This window comes from Homo sapiens, chromosome 5 (assembly GCF_000001405.40).
Source record: "Homo sapiens chromosome 5, GRCh38.p14 Primary Assembly".
NCBI classification, from domain to species: domain Eukaryota; kingdom Metazoa; phylum Chordata; class Mammalia; order Primates; family Hominidae; genus Homo; species Homo sapiens.
In genome coordinates this window covers 43670392-43691364 of record NC_000005.10, presented here as the reverse complement: position 1 = coordinate 43691364, position 20973 = coordinate 43670392, and the positions used below count along the sequence as shown (strand labels likewise).

At 37.3% G+C, this 20973-nt stretch overlaps 1 protein-coding gene across 8 annotated transcripts in view, besides 2 other annotated features; it reads right to left on the bottom strand.

Annotated features, from left to right (window-relative positions):
* Nucleotides 1–20973, bottom strand: part of NNT (nicotinamide nucleotide transhydrogenase) — a 104722-nt gene that overhangs the window by 16032 nt on the left and 67717 nt on the right. For all 8 annotated transcript variants that reach the window (NM_012343.4, XM_005248274.6, XM_017009293.3 and 5 more), the window contains 2 exons: nt 15695–15854; nt 13559–13640 (listed from right to left, as the gene is read on the bottom strand). In NM_012343.4, coding sequence (NP_036475.3) covers nt 13559–13640; nt 15695–15854 — 242 coding nt within the window. The remainder of the gene's footprint in view (nt 1–13558; nt 13641–15694; nt 15855–20973) is intronic.
* Nucleotides 7603–7772: an enhancer, noted in NCBI's record as "experimental_85375 CRE fragment used in MPRA reporter constructs". NCBI's record gives its function as "activates a minimal promoter by MPRAs in K562 erythroleukemia cells, with activity observed for the introgressed 5:43683780 variant allele {active_cell/tissue: K562}" and the evidence as "EXISTENCE:reporter gene assay evidence [ECO:0000049][PMID:34662402]".
* Nucleotides 10204–10373: an enhancer, noted in NCBI's record as "experimental_85370 CRE fragment used in MPRA reporter constructs". NCBI's record gives its function as "activates a minimal promoter by MPRAs in K562 erythroleukemia cells, with activity observed for both the introgressed and non-introgressed 5:43681179 variant alleles {active_cell/tissue: K562}" and the evidence as "EXISTENCE:reporter gene assay evidence [ECO:0000049][PMID:34662402]".

The following is a 20973-nucleotide window of genomic DNA, read 5'->3' as shown; positions in this document are numbered from 1 at the left end:
TAAGAGGCCGAGATGGGCGGATCACCTGAGGTCAGGAGTTCAAGACCAGCCTGGCCAACATGGTGAAATCTTTTCTCTATTTTAAAAAATACAAAAATTAGCTGGGCATGATGGCACATGCCTATAGTCCCAGCTAACTCGGGAGGCAGAGTTGGGAGAATCGCTTGAACCCAGGAGGCGGAGGTTGCAGTGAGCCAAGATTGCGCCACTGCACTCCAGCCTGGGTGACAGAGCGAGACTCCATCTCAAAACACACACACACACACACACACACACACACACACACACACACACTCTCTCAAAAAAATTCTGGATCAGTTGGCCAGAAAAAAAGGCAAAACTGTGATTTTCAAATAAACCACAGAAAATGACCAAATATTTCTTATTTGCACAGAAGAGAAGAAAATATTCAAATGCAAAAGAAAGAATTTAAAATCTTTTTTACTAAAAAAAAGCTTTTTGTTAACAATTTAAAACAAATGCCTTATCTAGGAAATTTCAGTCTTCTTTTTTGTGGGTCAGAGGGAGAGAGGCTCATTAATCTGCCCTCATGCATAACCCCCAGTTCAATCCAAAATGAATCCAAGAGTATTTTACATATAACTCAAAGGACGGTTGGCAGTGGGCATGATCAAGACCATTATGGAAGCTGGGACAGCCTTTTATTTATGGAAGGTGGGGGAGGGATTTCAACCAATGGTCTTAACCACTAGTAAGAGCAAGAAGCAGCTTAGAGGGAGCCCAGGATTTCCAGAATAACTACATGATGTTGCCCTAGCTCAATCCTACAGTACTAACTGCCTCTCAAATTAATCATGTGTGCTCTTTTGAGGTATTAAAAGTAATATTGGACACCAAAAATGTTTCCTAATTTCTCAATCCAGATCACCAATAAGCATCTCCTAATTCCCCCAGGCCCACCAGGCCCACTGCTCTTCCCAAAACCTGACTGATGAGAACTTAAGACTAAGAATCGTTGTTCTACATGACATTTAAAATCTGTATTAGTTTCATATTGCTGCTGTAACAAACTACCACAAATTCAGTGCCTTCAAACAACACAAATTTGTTATCACTTAAGGGCTGAAGGTCAGAAGTCCAAAATCAGTTTCCCTGGACTAAAAAAAAAAAAATCAAGATATCGAGAAGGCTTAATTCCTTCTGGATTGTTTTGTGATGAATTCTCCAGGTGTTCTTTGAGTTTTACTAGGTGTTATTTGGATGTGTCGATCTCTAGCAAGGCCAGGGGGGTTTTCCTCGATTATTCCCTCAAACATGTTTTCCAAATTTCTAGATTTCTCTTCTTCCTCAGGAACACCAATTATTCTTAGTTTTAGATGTTTAATATAGTTCCAAACTTCTTGGAGGCTTTGTTCATTTTTTTTTAATGCTTTTTTCTTTGTCTTTGACGGATTGGGTTAATTCAAAAGGCTTATCTTTGATCTCTGAAGTTCTTTCTTCTGTTTGTTCGATTCTATTGCTGAAACACTCAAAGCATTTTACATTTCTCTATCTGTGTCCTTAATTTCCAGAGGTTGTGATTGCTTTTTATTTATACTTTCTATTTCACAAAAGATGTTTCCTTTCATATCCTGCATCATGTTTTTGATTTCTTTGACTTGGACTTCGCCTTTCTCTGGTGCCTCCTTGATTAGCTTAATAATCGGCCTTCTGAATTCTTTTTCTGGCAATTCAGAGATTTTGTCTGGAAAGGACACCCTGTTCAACAAATGGTGCTGGGATAATTGTAAGCCACACGCGAAATAATGAAACTGAATCCTCATCTCTCACCTTATACAAAAATCAACTCGAGATGGATCAAAGACTTAAATCTAAGACCTGAAACCATAAAGATTCTATAAGATAATATGAGAAAAACCCTTCTAGACATTGGCTTAGGTGAGGATTTCATGACCAAAAACCCAAAGGCAAATGCAACAAAAACAAAGATAAACAGATGGGACTTAATTAAGCTAAAAAGCTTCTGCACAGCAAAAATAATAATAATCAACAGAGTTCATTCACAGACAACCCACAGAGTGGGAGAAAATCTTCAAAATCTATACATCTGACAAAAGACTAATGTCCAGAATCTACAAAGAACTCAAGCAAATCAGCAAGAATAAAACAAACGATCCCATCTAAAAGTGGCCTAAGGACATGAATAGACAACTCTCAAAGAAGATATACAAATGTCCGACTAGGATATGGAAAAATGCTCAATATCACTAATTATCAAGGAAATGAAAACCAAACCTCAATGCAATACCACCTCAATCCTGCAAGAATGAACATAATCAAAAAATAATAAAGGTTGGTGGGGATGTAGTGAAAAGGAAACATTTTTACACAGCTGGTGGGAATGTAAACTAGTACAATACACTATGGTAAACAGTGTGAAGATTCTTTAAAGAACTGAAAGTAGATCTACCATTTGATTCAGCAATCCCACTGCTAGGTATCTACCCAGAGGAAAAGAATTCATTATACAAAAAAGATATTTGCACACACGTTTATAGCAGCACAATTTGCGATTGCAAAAATATGGAACCAGCCCAAATGCCCATCAATCAATAAGTGGATAAAGAAAATGTGGTATCTCAGCCATAAAAAGGAATGAAACAATGGCATTCACAGCAACCTGAATGGAACTGGAGACTATTATTCTAAGTGAAGTAACTCAGGAATGGAAAACCAAATGGAAAATTATATGTTCTCACTCATAAGTGGGAGCTAAGCTATCAGGGCACAAAGGCATAAGAACAATACATTGAACTTTAGGGACTCAGAGGAAAGGGTGGGGGTGGCAAGGGATAAAAGAGTACACATTGGGTACAGTGTACACTCCTTGGGTGATGGGTGCACCAAAATCTCAGAAATCACCACTAAAGAATTTTTCCATGCAACCAAACACCTATTCCCCAAAAACCTATTGAAATTGAAAAAAAATTTTAAAAATTCCTTCTGGAGATTCTAGGGCAAACTCCATTCCATGCCTTTTCCAGCTTCTGCAGTCTTCCCTCTTTCCTTGGTGGGGGGGCTACATCACCCCAACTTCTGCTTCCACTGTCACATGTCCTTCTCTAACTCTGATCCTCCTGCCTCCCTCTTATAATGACCCTAGTGATTACACTGAGCCACCCAATGATCCAAGAAAATCTCCCCATCTCAAAATCCTCACCTTCATCAAATCTACAAAGTCCCTTTTGCCATGTAAGGTAAAATAGTCATTAGGTTCTGGGGATTCAGATATAGACACTTTGGAAGGCCACTATTCTGCCTACCACAAAGCTCTCCAGTCCTGAAATTCAGTGAACTAGGACTTCTATTTTAGCTAAATAACCCAATATATACGTTGTGATTACTTTTGGATTTCAATTTTATATCCTTCCTTGATTCTAGCTTATTTTGTTTAATTTTATTTGTTTTTAATACTGTTTTTGTCATCTTTAAATTAATCCATCTGGCTACCATCTTGAGGCTTTAACTGAGGTATCTTGGACCAAATTAGAAATTAAGGACCTCTGAATATATTTGTTCTCATTTTGATGCCTTGATTAGCTGCAGACTGCATAAAGACAATGTTTTTGTTGAGCTAGTTGTAAAGGGTAAATAATTACCAACATAACCATCATGTTATGCCTAATATCCCAAAGGACCTATCATTTTATATCTACTTGCACAGTAATTTATTACACTAAACTTTATGACTCTAAAGTCAGAGAAAAACACGTGCAAGATTATTACAAGAGAATGCCAATGTTTTGAGAAGAATAACAGAATACAGTCAAATGTGTAGAGATATATATGCACACTGATGAGTCAATGTGAGTTTATAAAAAATTCTGGCACAATGTAACAGGCTAATCCCCAAAGTATGTATTAAAATTAATTATATCAGACACTGGTTGGCCATAATGAGCAATTTCCCGGAACTGATGGCCAAAGCTCATCGATATTCCATCATCACATGAAGAATATCCAGAATTTCAACATGCAAAGCCTACCAACCTTTTAGTTCTTCTCTTTCAACTATGAACATTATCTTTTATTATGTATATGCTTAAAAAAGAATGAGCTATCCCTGACCATGACAAGATTCTACAGAGGAAAATAACTAAAATGAGGTCATAGAAAGATCTTGCAGGCTTTCAGAATTCTTCCTTTATGCATCTACTTCTTACTATACAATAACATAACTGGTTGACATGACTGTGCTCTCCTAAGAGTTCCTTGAGAATAGGAACAAACCATGTCTTATTTACCAGTTCCTGCCACTCTATTGCAAGGACTCCATTCAAGAGAGAGAAGGAGAGAAGGGGTTTTAAACAACACAGTGTGCCCAATAAAGTATACTGATTTATACACTATCTATGTCTCTTTTTAGAGAAAGGATTTAGAAAAGCAGTATAGGGTAGCAGTTAAGAGTTCTAGATTGCCACTGCCAGGTTCAAAGCATTTGAACAATTTACTTCTGTGTACCTCCATTCTTTCATGTGTACCATGGGATTGATAATAAAATCTCCTCAGAGGACTACTGAGGGATTTAAGTGATGTAGTTTGTATAAAAAGCTTTTCATACAAAGTGCTTTAGGCCAACACCTGGCAGACACAATTGTTCAATAAATGTACACAGCAATTATCCTGTTCAAATACATTTTTGTATAATAATATAAATGTTCATCTGTTTTTCAAATAAATGCATATTTTTAATAATCACTTAATACAAAGAAGCATACATTTTCACATTAAAACAAATGTTGATTTAATGTCAACACTTACTGGGTTGCTTTTCTAATTTTTATCTTGTAATGCCAGTAAAAATCAATAAAGTCCAATAAAAGCCAGAAATTATTTGTATTTGCAGCTACATCAAAAATACTAAAAAACTGTATAGTCAATCTAGATTGAGGCCAATAATTATAAACGTTGGGCTCCCTGGAAACTTGAACAAAACTAACATTCAAATACACATTTATTTTGATACAGTCAAATTTCAAAAGGCCATTTTTAACCATTTAACAGATATGATTAGGCAAAAATGTTGTTTCCTTGGTTGACAGATACAACAAATGTCATCAAATTAGGATAATCTCTTCAATATCTTGAAGCAAAAAAAAAAAAAATTCAACAGTATTTGTTATTTTCCTCTCTCAAATATGAAAACAATAGAGCCTTTCATGGAACATTAGATAATAAAAAAGCTCAGGCTTCAGTCATCAATTAAGAATAGACCCAGGCACAGTTCAAAAAAAGTAGAATAATCTACTCAAATGAAACAACCTGATCTTCAGAACCTTTTAAATTAACCAAGGAAGAATAAAAACTAATATAAGTGTATACAAGAACTATTCACGAATACTGAGTATACTTGGTAAAATATGAAGAAGAAGCAATTCAAAAAGTACTATTTTTTAAAAGCCTCTTTTATAATATATGGTGACATGAACCTCATTCTTTAGAGTTTTTCACAACTTCACATTAGATTTCAGATACCACATGTTTTAAAGGGGACACAACAACAGAAGTTTCCATGATCACAGACCATGGAGACAATATGTCCTACCAGAGTACACAGCAGCAGTTTTCTTGGGCATGTGAGGCTATTGAAGAATATAAAACATTCACCACATGGGTCCTACCACAACTGTTCAAATAAACTATGTTTTGCTTCTTGTATTATGGAAATATCCAGACCTAGTTCAGCAATAAACTATTAAGAATGTTTAATTAAATCAAGCATCCCAATTCAACAGTTACACAAAGAAACTGTAAGTACAATTGGGCCCCTTTCTAAACTATTTAGAGTGCTTTTTCCATTTTTCAGCTTCTTGCTATTATAAATAGTGACAAGGATCAACAGATTTTTTTAAAAAAAATAAGCTCTTTACAACCTTCAACTATTTGCTTACATGTTTTGTGAGTCACCATGCAAAATTTATGTCCATACTCCAAATGTTCAGTTACTTTCCCTTATTTTACTCTGTTTTACATTTTAAAATCAAGCTGGATATAGGGCAATGTACACTGATAGCATTTTGGAATTCTGCCTTCCCAATACTATCATCCCACAATTTTTCTAAATATGTTAATGATAACCTTCTAGGAGGTTGACAAATTAGGCAAAATACATAAACAGAAAATAAAAAGAAGGCTCATTTGTTAAACATCTACTAACTTCTCCTGTTTTAAAACTATAAATATTTATAAATCTATAAAACCTTAATGGTTTAAATAGAACTTAAAGATCTTCCAATCCAACTGCTTCTTAAGGTAGGAACTCTTCATTTAGAAATTATACCAAAAATGTTTGCACACTGTTTTGTCCCAAAAACAGGCTGGAAATTCCACTGTGGATACAATAAAAAGTCCGTAGTATGGGCTATAGCTCAAGGACCTTTGGAATTTTGTTTGTATGTGGCAGTGTTACATTCTGAGGAGGGTCTCTGGAGGTAATCAAATGATTCATTACTATATTCAGTATTTTTTTACATTTAATTATGCATTTCACCTGTGAAAAATATGATAGACTCCCTGAAAAGGCAAGTTTCTTTGGTTTATCACATGCTGATCAGAACTTCTGGTGACAGTTATAAATCATACTTATTAAAACTACAAGGAAAAGGTTTTTTTTTTAAGCAATCATTTTAGTGAATCAGTTCTGAATAAAAATTTCCAAATCATGGTGTCAGCAGGGTAATTGTTCCTGTTAGATAAATTATCCTTGGTAGTGAAAAGGCCTGGACCAACTGGGTCGGGCTAGTCTATCCATCCGAAGGGAAACATGGTAAGGAAGTGAAAAAAAAAAATTCCCGATGAGGCAACTGCTGTCCACAAAAACTAACGAATGAGATGGGTTGTAGAGTCAACATCTCTGGTGAGGCTTCCCAGGCAAAGGAATAAACACCTACCTTTCTAAAACCACCAAAATCCTTCTTAGAAGCAGCCGTTCTGATGAATTCACTCATATAATTCATAGTGAAAAAAAAGTGTTCATTTAACTTCCTAGAACTTTCTAAAAGCCAGAATTAGAGAACACTTTGTACTTTTCTTTTTTTGAAGGCAAATAAGGGCTGAACTGCTACTCTGTTTCTGAATTCTGTTGTTCATCCATGGCCTTCCCTTCTTCAGAAAAAAAAAAAAAAAATTATGAAAGAAAGCTTACGAAAATATCTCAGGGGAACAATTTTTCTAATGCAGAATAATAGACCTTGTCTTATGAATGTGAATCAGGAAATATTTGACAGGCTACAGTCACATTTTCCATCTGTACATGTGGCCTGTGACACTGAGGCCACCCAAAGAGATGAGCTGTCACCTAAGAAGGATCAGCTCAGATGGTCTGGTGCAAACATCAACGCAGTCCTCTATAAAACCATGTCCCAAAACTACCTTTTCCATCCTGAGGAGAGTAATTATAGATTGTGCCCAAATCTGGCTTTCCCATCGCTTAACCAAATCCAACTACCAGGCCCAGAATAGAAACTGTATGACTACTGACACTGTTTTGATTTTAAAATAGGCAACAAGATTATGAAGAATGATACCAGAAAAAAAAAATTCAATTTGCAACTAACTCTTGAATATTACATTCTGGCATATTATAGAGATTTAGTTAAAATTATACATAATTTCATCTTTCTGTCTGAATAATTTTTATGATGCTATTAAATGGCTGCTGGAATGCAATGGCTAATGAGCTCAATAAAATGAAAATTATTTATAAGCAAGATCCTTATTTATTTGTTCACATGAACTTCATTGTAAAAACTCAGCTCAAAGAGTTTCCTGTAACTAATACTAAAACCAGAAGCCAAAAATCACCCTGATGGTCAGTGACAATGATTTCATCAACAGTGAAAGTTTTTTCCTCAGATCACAGGAATGCCTGTGACAAGAGTTTATAAGGAATGCATCCTAGAGTGGTATGACCAAAAGAGGCTTTACAAAGCACCTAAAGCACAGGCTTTAATGCAGTCTTCTGTTCTTTCCACCATACCAATATGCTGTGGACAAGATAAAGCCAATCTGGGATGAAGGTGGCCACTTTCTAGGAGCATAACAGACACCTTTGATCTGGGAGATTACTAGCAACTCCACACAATAGGTTGAACATAGATGTGAGTGAATGCACATACTTTCTTTGGTTTTCCTCTCTTCCATCAAAGTTTCACTCATTTGACCAGTTACACGAATAACCCATACCCACTATCCTGCCACCATGTTTTTCGAGAAGGCAGCCCCAATGCAAAGTGCAAAGAAACACACCACATTCTTTGAGAAAACCAAAAGCGCTGGCTAATTCAAGGCCAAATAGTGGCAGCTATAACTTTGAAACTCTGATACAATAACCTATGTTACAGCTGTTCTCTGGTGTTTCAAGTAGCATTGAAATTGGGAGACAAATGGGCTTATAATCTCCAAGTCAGATTATCTTGAAGCCTATTAATTAATCAATTAATTAACTAATGTAAATTCCATAAGACCAGGAATTTTCAGCTGTTGTCTTCACTGAGGTATCCCCTGGACCTACAACAGTAGCTTAGGAAAGAGTAGTATATATTATAATTATTTGTTCAATGAATGGTTATGGATATGAATAGTGGTATCTTTATTTTATAAAAGTATTACAAAGCTGACATGAAACTGCTAAATAATGTCTATTTCGTTACTCAAATACTATACAAGATAATTTTAACTGGCCTAGTTTCTATTCTCGTCAGAAATACATGACTTTATTGCTTTACCAATTTGCAAGCCTTGACTCTTCCTCCACCCAAAAACATAACAAATCCAAGAAGGCTGGACTTTGTTTATCTGAATCATACTTATCCATGAAAAACAGGAAAATCCTGCCTGAGTGTGGTGGCTCACGCCTGTAATCCCAGCACTCTGGGAAGCCAAGGTGGGCAGATCACCTGAGGTCAGGAGTTTGAGACCAGCCTGGCCAACATGATGAAATCCCATTTCCACTAAAAATACAAAAATTAGTCAGGCGTGGTGGCGCATGCCTGTAATCCCAGCTACTTGGGAGGCTGAGGTGGGAGAATCGCTTAAACCTAGGAGGCGGAGGTTGCAGTGAGCCGAGATCACACCACTGAACTCCAAGCTAGGTGACAGAGCAAGATTCCAACAAAAAAAAAAAAAAAAAAAAAAGAATCCAGTTAGACAGTTAGATGGACAAAATATTTTATATTTTCAAGTGTCTTCAAAGAATCAATTTCTAAGTAAAAATAATATGTATTTAAACTTATAGCCATATTACACAAGACTGTAAAACATTATTAGACTGCAAATACCACAGGCAGCTAGATGTGTTTAGACAGTACATAAAAAATAAATGAAAATATTTATTTTTAAAAACATGCAAGATATTTCAGGTTGTAAAAAGTTTAAAATATCTCCTGGACAGCTAACTACTCCTTGCATTCTTACTACTACTCTACTTGTCTTAGCATACTATCACATTAAATGGAATTCATTCATTGATTGATCTGTTAATAGAGATTTCTTCATAACTATAAACTTTTGAGGACTGGACTTACGCATCCTTGTATGCTCAGTACCTAGCAATAAATTTCTCAGTAAGTTATTAGTAGAAGGATATAGCAGAACATTAACATGAAAGCAATACATAACATCAGCTAGTCAATCAAAGAAGTTGAGGCCGGGTGCGGTGGCTCACGCCTGTAATCCCAGCACTTTGGGAGGCTGAGGCAAGCAGTTTACTTGAGGTGAGGAGTTCAAGACCAGCCTGGCCAACGTGGCGAAACCCCGTCTCTACCAAAAATACAAAAATTAGCCAGGTGTGGTGGTATGCGCCTGTAGTCCCAGCTACTTGGCAGGCTGAGGCAGGAGAATTGCTTTGAACCCGGGAGGCAGAGGTTGCAGTGAGCTGAAATCATGCCACTGCCCTCCAGCCTGGGTGACAAGAGTGAAACTCCATCTCAAAAACAAAATAATAATTAAAAAAAATAAGTTGAAAGTTGTTCAATAAATTCAAATGACTTCTGTGATAATTCAAGCAATGATTTATAGAAAGAAAATCAAGCAGTAATTATAATAAAAAAATTCTACCCCTTTCTTTTTTTTTTTTTTTTTTTTTGAGAAGGAGCCTCGCTCTGTCACCCAGGCTGGAGTGCAATGGCACGATCTTGGCTCACTGCGAGCTCCACCTCCTGGGTTCACGCCATTCTCCTGCCTCACCCTCCCGAGTAGCTGGGACTACAGGTGCCCGCCACCATGCCTGGCTAATCTTTTGTATTTTTAGTAGAGACGGGGTTTCACCATGTTAGCTAGGATGGTCTTGATCTCCTGACCTCTTGGTCTGCCTGCCTCAGCCTCCCAAAGTGCTGGGATTACAGGCATATTCTACCCCTCCCTAATTACTCAATGGGAACATTATCTCTGCCTTATAATGAAAAGCCTATCATATAATCAGTCCAAAAATTGGGAAGGAAAAAGACAAAATATCTGTGGCTCTTACGTCGTAAGATTGTTGTCATAAAATCCTTTTAGACATCAAGCAGAAGTTAGGTAAGCTATACAGGCATTCTGGGCTACTGGGAAGCAAATGATATCTTGGCCACTAACAAAAGTCTAAGCCAGTGAACTTTCATGACATTCTAAAATGAGTTCTTGTCATGAAATGTCATGTGCTTCATTATATAATCTTAGCTCGTGAGCATATTATGACTATGGGCAAAGTAAAGGAAAACAGGAGTGTCTCTAAATCAATCATGGGCCATGAAGCCAGACAGACTGTATGACAGATGCGATTTTTCTTGGCACCACTTGGGTATAACTAATTGATGACAATCATATGTCCACACTGGCACATTTCCACAGGGGATGTGTGTGAATATGTCACCACATCTGGATGCTAGGCATGCTGGGGTCCTGAGGCACAAAGACCTGCTAACTCCAGAGGCCCAGCAGCTGTACTCAATGAACACCGTGGGAGCTCCACAGAGTGATGAAAGGACTAAATTACTGCAAACTGTAAATACAGATTTATTTCATTAAAATATGAGGTAACTGCTGCAGCCATCTCTTGTTCAAACAGACGTTTGCCCTTTAAAAAAAAAAGGAAAAAAGCTAGCATCTATGTATATACATATTCCTAACTTCGTAAAGAAAATTTGCATTTCTCCTGTGAAAAGCTAACACACGCACAAAGCAAAATCACAAAGTTTCTACAAATCTCTTTCAATAAAAAAAATTCACACAGAAAAATATGATGATCTGCTGTCATAATTTTAGCAAGAATAGTCCTCTTCCATTTAATTCAAATGGAAGATTTACATAATTTGTTACAAAGTTCATGTTGAAAATTCAACATACTATAGTAAAAAAAAACTACAATATATTAATATATTTTACCTTTAATATGAAAGAAAGATGACTATAAATAACTTACAAATAGAGAAACTAGACTGAATTAATAATCTTATTCTGATCCTACATAATAAATTATTAATAAATTTATAAAATTATTTGAACTATGTTAATAATTATGTGAAGCAATGAAAAGCTCTCTCATGAAAAGGCTTTGGTCCTATTCACACAATTACTTCAATAAAAAATGTAGAACTGAAAAACTATTCATATATGTATAATTAAATATTTCTCTTAAACCTTTCATCAAATAATTACTCTTCCCAAGCACTGTCACAGAAATCATCCTACAACAGTAGTTTATATCATGTCCTCATAGATAAAATTCTAATTTTAATCAGATCAGAAACAAAAAATTCATTTGTCTTATCCTTTTTCCTTTCAGATCATTTTTCCCATCTCTCTTATTTCCTTTGACATTTCCCTTAAGATGCTGCCTTCCTTCAAGCTACACTACAGTCACGATGTTCTTCACTCCACATCCACCTATTTAACACTGGACTGATTTTCCAAGATGTCTGGTTAACCTAGGCTGATCAACAGGTAACAAGAGAGGTATGCCAAATTAATCCTTCCCTTCCCTAAGGATAATTAAGACATGAAAGGCATTTTTCTTTCTCTATTATGATTGCCACCCATCTCCTAAATATTTATGTGGTGAAAGAGGGCATTACGAATACATTACACTTTTTCACATCTGGACTAAATAGAGAAAACAGTTTCTTTTTAGGAAAATCATAAAACGTTGTTTAACATATCATTTTCACTTGCAGGCCTACAAATGTTCTCAGCAGCAAAATGATGGCTTTAAAAAGCACAGCTTAATATCCTATGTAAAAATTGGAATAAGTAACTAAAAAGTAGACTTCTTATACAAAAATTTAAAAATAAAGTCAATGACTTTTCTCATCTTCTACCTTCAATTCATCTAAGACTCTCAATAAACATGAAAATCTTGTCACAGAAATGCTGGTCCCACCACAAAATAGTATTTTGATTCTATATATTTGACAAACACAGACTATAGATTGGAGGAAGGAGTGGAGAAGGAGTGAGACAAGAAAGGAAGTGTAGGAAACAAAGGAAGGAAGAAATAAAGTGCAGCTGACACTAATACAATTAACTGCCGACACTAATACAATTAAGGTAGCCCCCTGATTTCATCATCTAAGTTTCTTTCACCACTACTAGTAGCTGGGACATTCCAGCCAGAGATTAAGATTCTGCATCCAGTCCAGCACAAGTACTCTGACTGGCTAACTCAGCTAACTCAGCAAAACAGTAACCAGGGCACAGGTTTATTACTTGGTCTTGCTCTTCAAGGCCTCTCTTTTAAGACCTTTTGTTTTTATTCAGTGTGACCGGAAACCAAAAAGATACAACTTGATGTAGTTAAAATGCTTCGCTTGACCTCTTTCCTCAAATCAAACCACAGAGAAACAAGACATCCGATTTCCCCATTAATAAATCTCCAAGAATTTGGAATAACACATTTTCCTTTTCTAAAATGAGTCGATAATATTTGAGTTGACGCTAATCCAGGAACAGCAAAATCTAAATAGTAAGACTAAGACCAGAATATGGCTTGTTCATTAACAACTTAACTTCTTTACCTAGGATTACACATGTAAAACACCACTTTAAGAAACAGTCATCTTTTTCAGAAGCCATATACAGCTGACCCTTGAACAACATGGGTTTGAGCTGAGAGGGTCCACTTATCCACAGATTTTCTTCTACCGCTGCCACTCATGAGAGCAAGACCAACAACTCCTCTTCCTCCTTCTTCTCATCTCACTCAACGTAAAGACAAGGATGAAAACCTTTATGATGATCCACTTCCACTTAAGGAATAGTAAATATACTTTCTCTTCCTTATGATTTTCTTAGTAACATTTTCCTTTCTCTACTATTTAATACATATAATATACAAAATTTGTTAATTGATACATATTTTGTTTATGTTATCAGTAAGCATTCTGATCAGCAGTAGGCCATTAGTAGGTAAGTTTTTGGAGAGTCAAAAGTTATATATGGATTTTTAATTGTATGGGCGGGTCAGTGCCCTAACCCCTACATTGTTCAAGGGTCCACTGTATTTCCTTTTCTCCACACACACATCTTTACACATAGTGCAAGCCTCTCCACTGCAAACGCTTACCTGACTTTTTTGCCTTGCTCAGTGAGCATCTTTACCAAATCAGCAATGGGGTATTGAGCTTTGGCTGCACAGAGACCATAGCCTGCAAGGAACATTAAGAACACAGAAGAATGTGTTTTTTATTTTGAAATTACATGAAGTACAACTTCTCTCTTGATGAAAACACATGTTTATGCCAACAGAGGCAATCATTTAACAGGACTAGAAATGAAAGCAAATTTATAAGCTGGGCTTTTAAAAATATTGCCCTAAATTTGAAATTGAAAATGTAATGATTGCTCCTCAATCTTCTGTAGTGTCTCATGCTGCTGTGCAACCCCACCCCCGACACTGCACACACCCTTGGGTGTTCCCTCTCTTGTCTCTTTCTCTGTCTCTGTCTCTCTCTCTCTCTCTCTCTCTCTCTCATGTTTTTAAACTCTCTTCATACTTGGCTTTGACGACACTGCGGTCCCCTGTCCCAGCCTAACTTTGTTATTATTCTTTCTCTAGTTCCTTGAATAGTTTTTCTCCTTCTTTTCTCCGCTTATATAAGTTTCCAAAGGGCTTTAACTTTGCCCCTCACATTCTCCTTGAAAATCTCAGCTCCTCTCATGGCTTCAACAACCATCTGATGATTCCCAATCTGTCTGCAGGCTTGACCTGTCATTTGAGCGCCAGTATAACATGGCTCTTGTCCCATCTTCACCTCAAATTTAATGTCTCAAAAAAAGAACTCAAAATTTCCCCCCACCCCACACTCTAAAAACTGTTTCCATATTTCTGATGTTATTACAGGTATAACCAAGAACTTCAGTCATCTTCACCCTCCTTTCTGTCCATTCTACCTGCACAATGAATCTCACATCTGTCCCCACTTTTCTATCCCCATTTTTTCAAATGCCAAGTCTCTGCTCAAGCTATTCCCGTTGGCTTCTCCCATCCCAACACCATCTATTCTCTAAGTCCTAAAAACAAATCGTCGCCTCCCTACAAACCTTCATAGGTTTCTTGTGATTGAAAAACTGTCTACATAGTTCAGTTTAGCCCTTATCATAACCCACCTTGCATTACTGATCTACCTATCTGACTTAATCACTAGATGGAAAGTGCCTAGAGGAAATAGATTGTGTCCTCTACATCTTTACACCTTTACACTCCAGAACAGCATTGCTCAATAGGTAAGACCAATGCTACTTTGGGTGTGATGATTCATTATGCAGCAGTGTCCCACACGTTACAGTACATTTCATTTATCTGCTTCCATCCACTAATTGACAGTAGCATTCCCATCTTTGGACAACCAAAAACCCAAATCCACCTATTTCAAATGCCCCTAAAAAGTGATATTGTCCCAAGTTGAGAAGGCTTACACTTTAACACTCAATTCAGCTAATGTCTCCTATTTTTACTTCAGTACATAACTAACTAGTAAACTACTCACATGTCAAATCAGTAGATTTTATTTACAGAAAACTCATTTGATAACATGATAGAGTTAAAATCTTAATCTGAAACCAATGTATGACTCATAATACCACAGCATCCTGTGATAACAGTGAAGAAGAACTGAGCTAAAACTCAGAAAACTGGAAAATTGAGGCCTGGAGAGATTAAATGACTTGGGCAATGTCACATAGATTGTTAGAGGCAAAATTAAGAACAAAAGTGAGGTATCGTGACTCCATACCAAGCTCTTTCTACTAGGCCACATTGCCTCATTTTGTTGAAAACCACATGATTCTTGATCATTTTTTAAATAATCATTTTTGAAAAAACAACATTTATTAAGCAACTCTAATGAGTGAGCTAAAGACTTTCATATACTATATCTAATTTAATCTTGACAACGGGCCCAAAAATTACCAATGAGAAGAAAAAAGACTCGAAAATGATGTAAACATGTACACATAATCACAGAAAGACATGGCTAGAACCCACTGTAAGAATTTATAGAATTTCCATGTGATCTCCAAAATATTAATTTAAACTGAGAATTCTCAGTATTTTTCACTTAGTAATCATAGATTTGCTATTGTTTCCATTATATTTTCAAAACTAAAGAAGTTTCAATTCTACTTTCCTATTATAAGAAATTTTAATGTCATCAATTATAACAGCTATTATAGGTTATTTGCTTTTGCTTTTTTTCTTTACCTGGTGTAATAATAATGCTATTAGCTTCTCGAATCATGTCAATTGCATTGTCAAGGTTGATTTCCGTATGTGTGCCAGAAATTTCCATGGGTTTTCCACCAGCTGTTGAAGTGGTGCCATAGCCTCCAAGAATCACATTAGCCAGGGAGCGATTCATTGCCTAGAAAGCCAAATTATCAGCTGTGAGAGTTTAACACACATAACTTTGTGAGAATAGTACAAATGTTGTGTATATGATATTTGGAATCATTTTAAAAGGTTTATTTGATCATTTAAAACACTTTAATCAGATAAATTTCAGCTGGTTTCTGAAAATCACTTCAAAAATTGAAATGACAGAAGATATCTGAGAACCACATTATCTTTTTCCCTATCAAATCAATTGCACACTGATATATTTTCAGTAAAAAAAATAGAAACCAAGAAAAAATTATCAATAAAATTAATAAACTAATGAAAAAATCACATCTATTTATTACTGTCTGAATGCTGATTGAACAATTTTATCTCTCAGCTGAATTCTGCTACAGATTCCATCTTCACAGATACCAGCTGTGAAGAAGCAACTGGTAAGAATCAAAACAGTAAAGATCCATTTCATCTAGAATTTTGCTGCCCTCTGTCATCAAGAAAATAGAAATATGGGGGTTGATACTGTCTTATTTTCCAAATCAATTATAGCTCCACAAAGCCCCATACCTAAGTTTTAATAGAAGTAACTGGGTTCATCATTAGGACTCTAAAATATTTCACTTCCAAATAGGTAGAAGAATAAGGTTATATACTCTTTAAAATTTATACTCACTCTTTTAACTAGAAAAATAATCTCAAAAGAAAAATAAAATAAATGAACTTCTCATGCTCATTTATAATCACTCAAGAATGTACCATAGGAATGCCACTGCTGAAATATGTTACAGTAACTGGTCTGGTTTTGAAAACAGTTCATTTGTAGACCTCTGGAGGTGGGGTAGTAAAAGAAAGGGGAAAAAAAACTAGTTGTTCTGAGTAATCAAATGCATTTTAAGAATTCAAATCACTGCATGTGATTGAAACTGTCATTCTACATAATCATAACTGACTTTATCACTTCAGAACAAATTTCCAAAAACTTACTGAACTCTATTTTAAGTGCTGTAATAAATATATTATTGCTTCGTTATACAACTTAAAGGCTATATAAGTGTCAATCTATTGCTTTTTTTAAAAATACAACACTTTAGTATTAAAAAGGTAAAAAAGCACCAAGATCTTCAATGATAAGTACCACATCGAGACAACTATGGCCACCCCACACAATGATGGCTCAGCCTGCTACCAGCTTGGTGGAGACATTTCCATTATGCTGAGTAGGGCCCAGACAAAGGCAGGGAGGAAAAGGTACACAGAAGATAAGCAAGAAGCCATACTTTAATAAAGCCTAAATAACGTAAATTTCAAAGATGATGAATCAAAATGTTGCCAGAATTGTAATTGTTCTTTCAATCTAAACTCGTTTATCAGACACAACATTGACATTTTACAGAGCCCAAAGTCTGACAAATTTGTCTAAGATTGTTACATACAAAATAAAACCTGAAATGTCTTTACGTGTATTATTAAAGGATAAGAGGGTGAAAGAATTAAAGTGATGTCTTTTTTTTTTTTTTTTGAGATGGAGTCTTGCTCTGTCACCCAGGCTGGAGTGCAGTGGAATGATCTCAGCTCACTGCAACCTCCGCCTCCTGGGTTCAAGAGATTTTCCTGCCTCAGCCTCCAGAGTAGTGGGGATTACAGGTGCATGCCACCACACCTGGCTAACTTTTTATATATTTGGTAGAAATGTGGTTTCACCATGTTGGCCAGGCTAGTCTCAAACTCCTGACCACAAGTGATCTGCCTGCCTCGGCCTCCCAAAGTGCTGGGATTACATGAATGAGCCACAGTGCCCAGCTAAAGAAATGCTTTTAATTAAGTTCACAATCCCTAGCTGACATGGTGTTTTAAATTCCTAACACATTCCTCCCATATTTAAAACCAACGTTTAATGGAAACACAAATAGCCACATCTGAGACGTCCCAAACATTCAACTCATTGATCTAGATTAATCCTTTCTAGTTTTGAATTATACAGTTCTGAAATTGTTATCAAAATATATGTTCTACCAAATTTTTGCCCTTAAAATTGATTTAAAGGACTATTTCAGACATTAAGATATTTCTGTCATAGATAACTTTTTTAAAAAAAGAGTCCAGTGAGGATTGGGTTCCAAGATGGCCGAATAGGAAGAGCTCCAGTCTACAGCTACCAGCATGAGAGACGCAGAAGACGGGTGATTTCTGCATTTCCAACTGAGGTACCGGGTTCATCACGCTGGGGCTTGTCGGACAGTGTGGGCAAGACAGTGGGTGCAGTCCACCAAGCGTGAGCCAAAGCAGGGCGAGGCATTGCCTCACCTGGGAAGCACAAGGGGTCAGGGAATACCCTTTCCTAGCCAAGGGAAGCGGTGATGGAGGGCACCCGGAAAATCAGGTCACTCCCACCCTAATACTACTGCGCTTTTCCAATGGTCTTAGCAAATGGCACACCAGATTATAGCCCATGCCTGGCTCAGAGGGTCCCATGCCCACAGAGCCTCGCTCATTGCTAGCACAGCAGCCTGAGATCGAACTGCAAGGTGGCAGCAAGGCTGGGGGAGGGACGCCCACCATTGCTGAGCCTTGAGTAGGTAAATAAAGCAGCTGGGAAGCTCGAACTGGGTGGAGCCCACCGCAGCTCAAGGAAGCCTGCCTACCTCTGTAGACTCCACCTCTGGGGGCAGGGCATAGCCGAACAAAAGGCAGCAGAAACCTCTGCAGACTTACATGTCCCTGTCTGACAGCTTTGAAGAGAGTAGTGGTTCTCCCAGCATGGAGTTTGAGATCTGAAAACGGACAGACTGCCTCCTCAAGTGGGTCCCTGACCCCTGAGTAGCCTAACTGGGAGGCACCCTCCAGTAGGGGCAGACTGACACCTCACATGGCTGGGTACCCCTCTGAGACGAAGCTTCCAGAGGAACGATCAGGCAGCAACATTGCTTTTCAGCAATATTCGCGGTTCTGCAGCCTCCACTGCTGATACCCAGGCAAACACGGTCTGGAGTGGACCTCCAGCAAACTCCAACAGACCTGCAGCTGAGGGTCCTGACTGTTAGAAGGAAAACTAACAAACAGAAAGGACATCCACACCAAAACCTCATCTGTACGTCACCATCATCAAAGACCAAAGGTAGATAAAACCACAAAGATGGGGAAAATACAGAGCAGAAAAGCTGAAAATTCTAAAAATCAGAGCGCCTCTCCCCCCTCCAAAGGAACGCAGCTCCTCGCCAGCAATGGAACAAAGCTGGATGGAGAATGACTTTGACAAGTTGAGAGAAGAAGGCTTCAGACGATCCAACTTCTCCAAGCTAAAGGAGGAAGTTTGAACCCATCACAAAAAGCTAAAAACCTTGAAAAAATATTAAGACGAATGGCTAACTAGAATAAACAGTGTAGAGAAGTACTTAAATGACCTGATGGAGCTGAAAACCATGGCACAAAAACTACGTGATGAATGCACAAGTTTCAGTAGCCAATTCGATCAACTGGAAGAAAGGGTATCAGTGATTGAAGATCGAATGAATGAAATGAAGCGAGAAGAGAAGTTTAGAGAAAAAATAGTAAAAAGAAATGAAGAAAGCCTCCAAGAAATATGGGACTATGTGAAAAGACCAAATCTACGTCTCATTGGTGTACCTGAAAGTGATGAGGAGAATGGAACCAAGTTGGAAAACACTCTGCAGGATATTATCCGGGAGAACTTCCCCAACCTAGCAAGGCAGGCCAACATTCAAATTCAGGAAATACAGAGAATACCACAGAGATACTCCTCAAGAAGAGCAACTCCAAGACACATAATTGTCACATTCACCAAAGTTGAAATGAAGGAAAAAATGTTAAGGGCAGCCAGAAAGAAAGGTCGGGTTACCCACAAAGGGAAGCCCATCAGACTAACAGCTGATCTCTCAGCAGAAACTCTACAAGCCAGAAGAGAGTGGGGGCCAATATTCAACATTCTTAAAGAAAAGAATTTTCAACCCAGAATTTCATATCCAGCCAAACTAAGCTTCATAAGTCAAGGAGAAATAAAATCCTTTACAGAAAAGCAAATGCTGAGAGATTTTGTCACCGCCAGGCCTGCCTTACAAGAGCTCCTGAAGGAAGCACTACACATGGAAAGGAACAACCAGTACCAGCTACTGCAAAAACATGCCAAATTGTAAAGACCATCGAGGCTAGGAAGAAACTGCATCAACTAACGAGCAAAATAACCAGCTAACATCATAATAACAGGATCAAATTCACACATAACAATATTAACCTTAAATGTAAATGGGCTAAATGCTCCAATTAAAAGACACAGACTGGCAAATTGGATAAAGAGTCAAGACCCATCAGTGTGCTGTATTCACAAGACTCATCTCACATGCAGAGACACGCATAGGCTCAAAATAAAGGGATGGAGGAAGACCTACCAAGCAAATGGAAAGCAAAAAAAAGCAGGGGTTACAATCCTAGTCGCTGATAAAACAGACTTTAAACCAACAAATATCAAAAGAGACAAAGAAGGCCATTACATAATGGTAAAGGGATCAATTCAACAAGAAGAGCTAACTATCCTAAATATATATGCACCCAATACAGGGGCACCCGGATTCATAAAGCAAGTCCTTAGAGACCTACAAAGAGACTTAGACTCCCATACAATAATAACGGAAGACTTTAACACCCCACTGTCAACATTAGACAGCTCAATGAGACAGAAAGTTAACAAGGATATCCAGGAGTTTAACGCGACTCTGCACCAACAGGACCTAATAGACATCTACAGAATGTCTCCACCCCAAATCAACAGAATACACATTCTTCTCAGCACCACACTGCACTTATTCCAAAATTGACCACATACGTGCAAGTAAAGCACTCCTCAGCAAATGTAAAAGAACAGAAATTATAACAAACTCTCTCTCAGACCACAGTGCAATCACACTAGAACTCAGGATTAAGAAACTCACTGAAAACCACTCAACTACATGGAAACTGAGCAACCTGCTCCTGAATGACTACTGGGTACATAATGAAATGAAGGCAGAAATAAAGATGTTCTTTGAAACCAATGAGAACAAAGACACAACATACCAGAATCTCTGGGACACATTCAAAGCAGTGCGTAGAGGGAAATTTATAGCACTAAATGCCCACAAGAGAAAGCAGAAAAG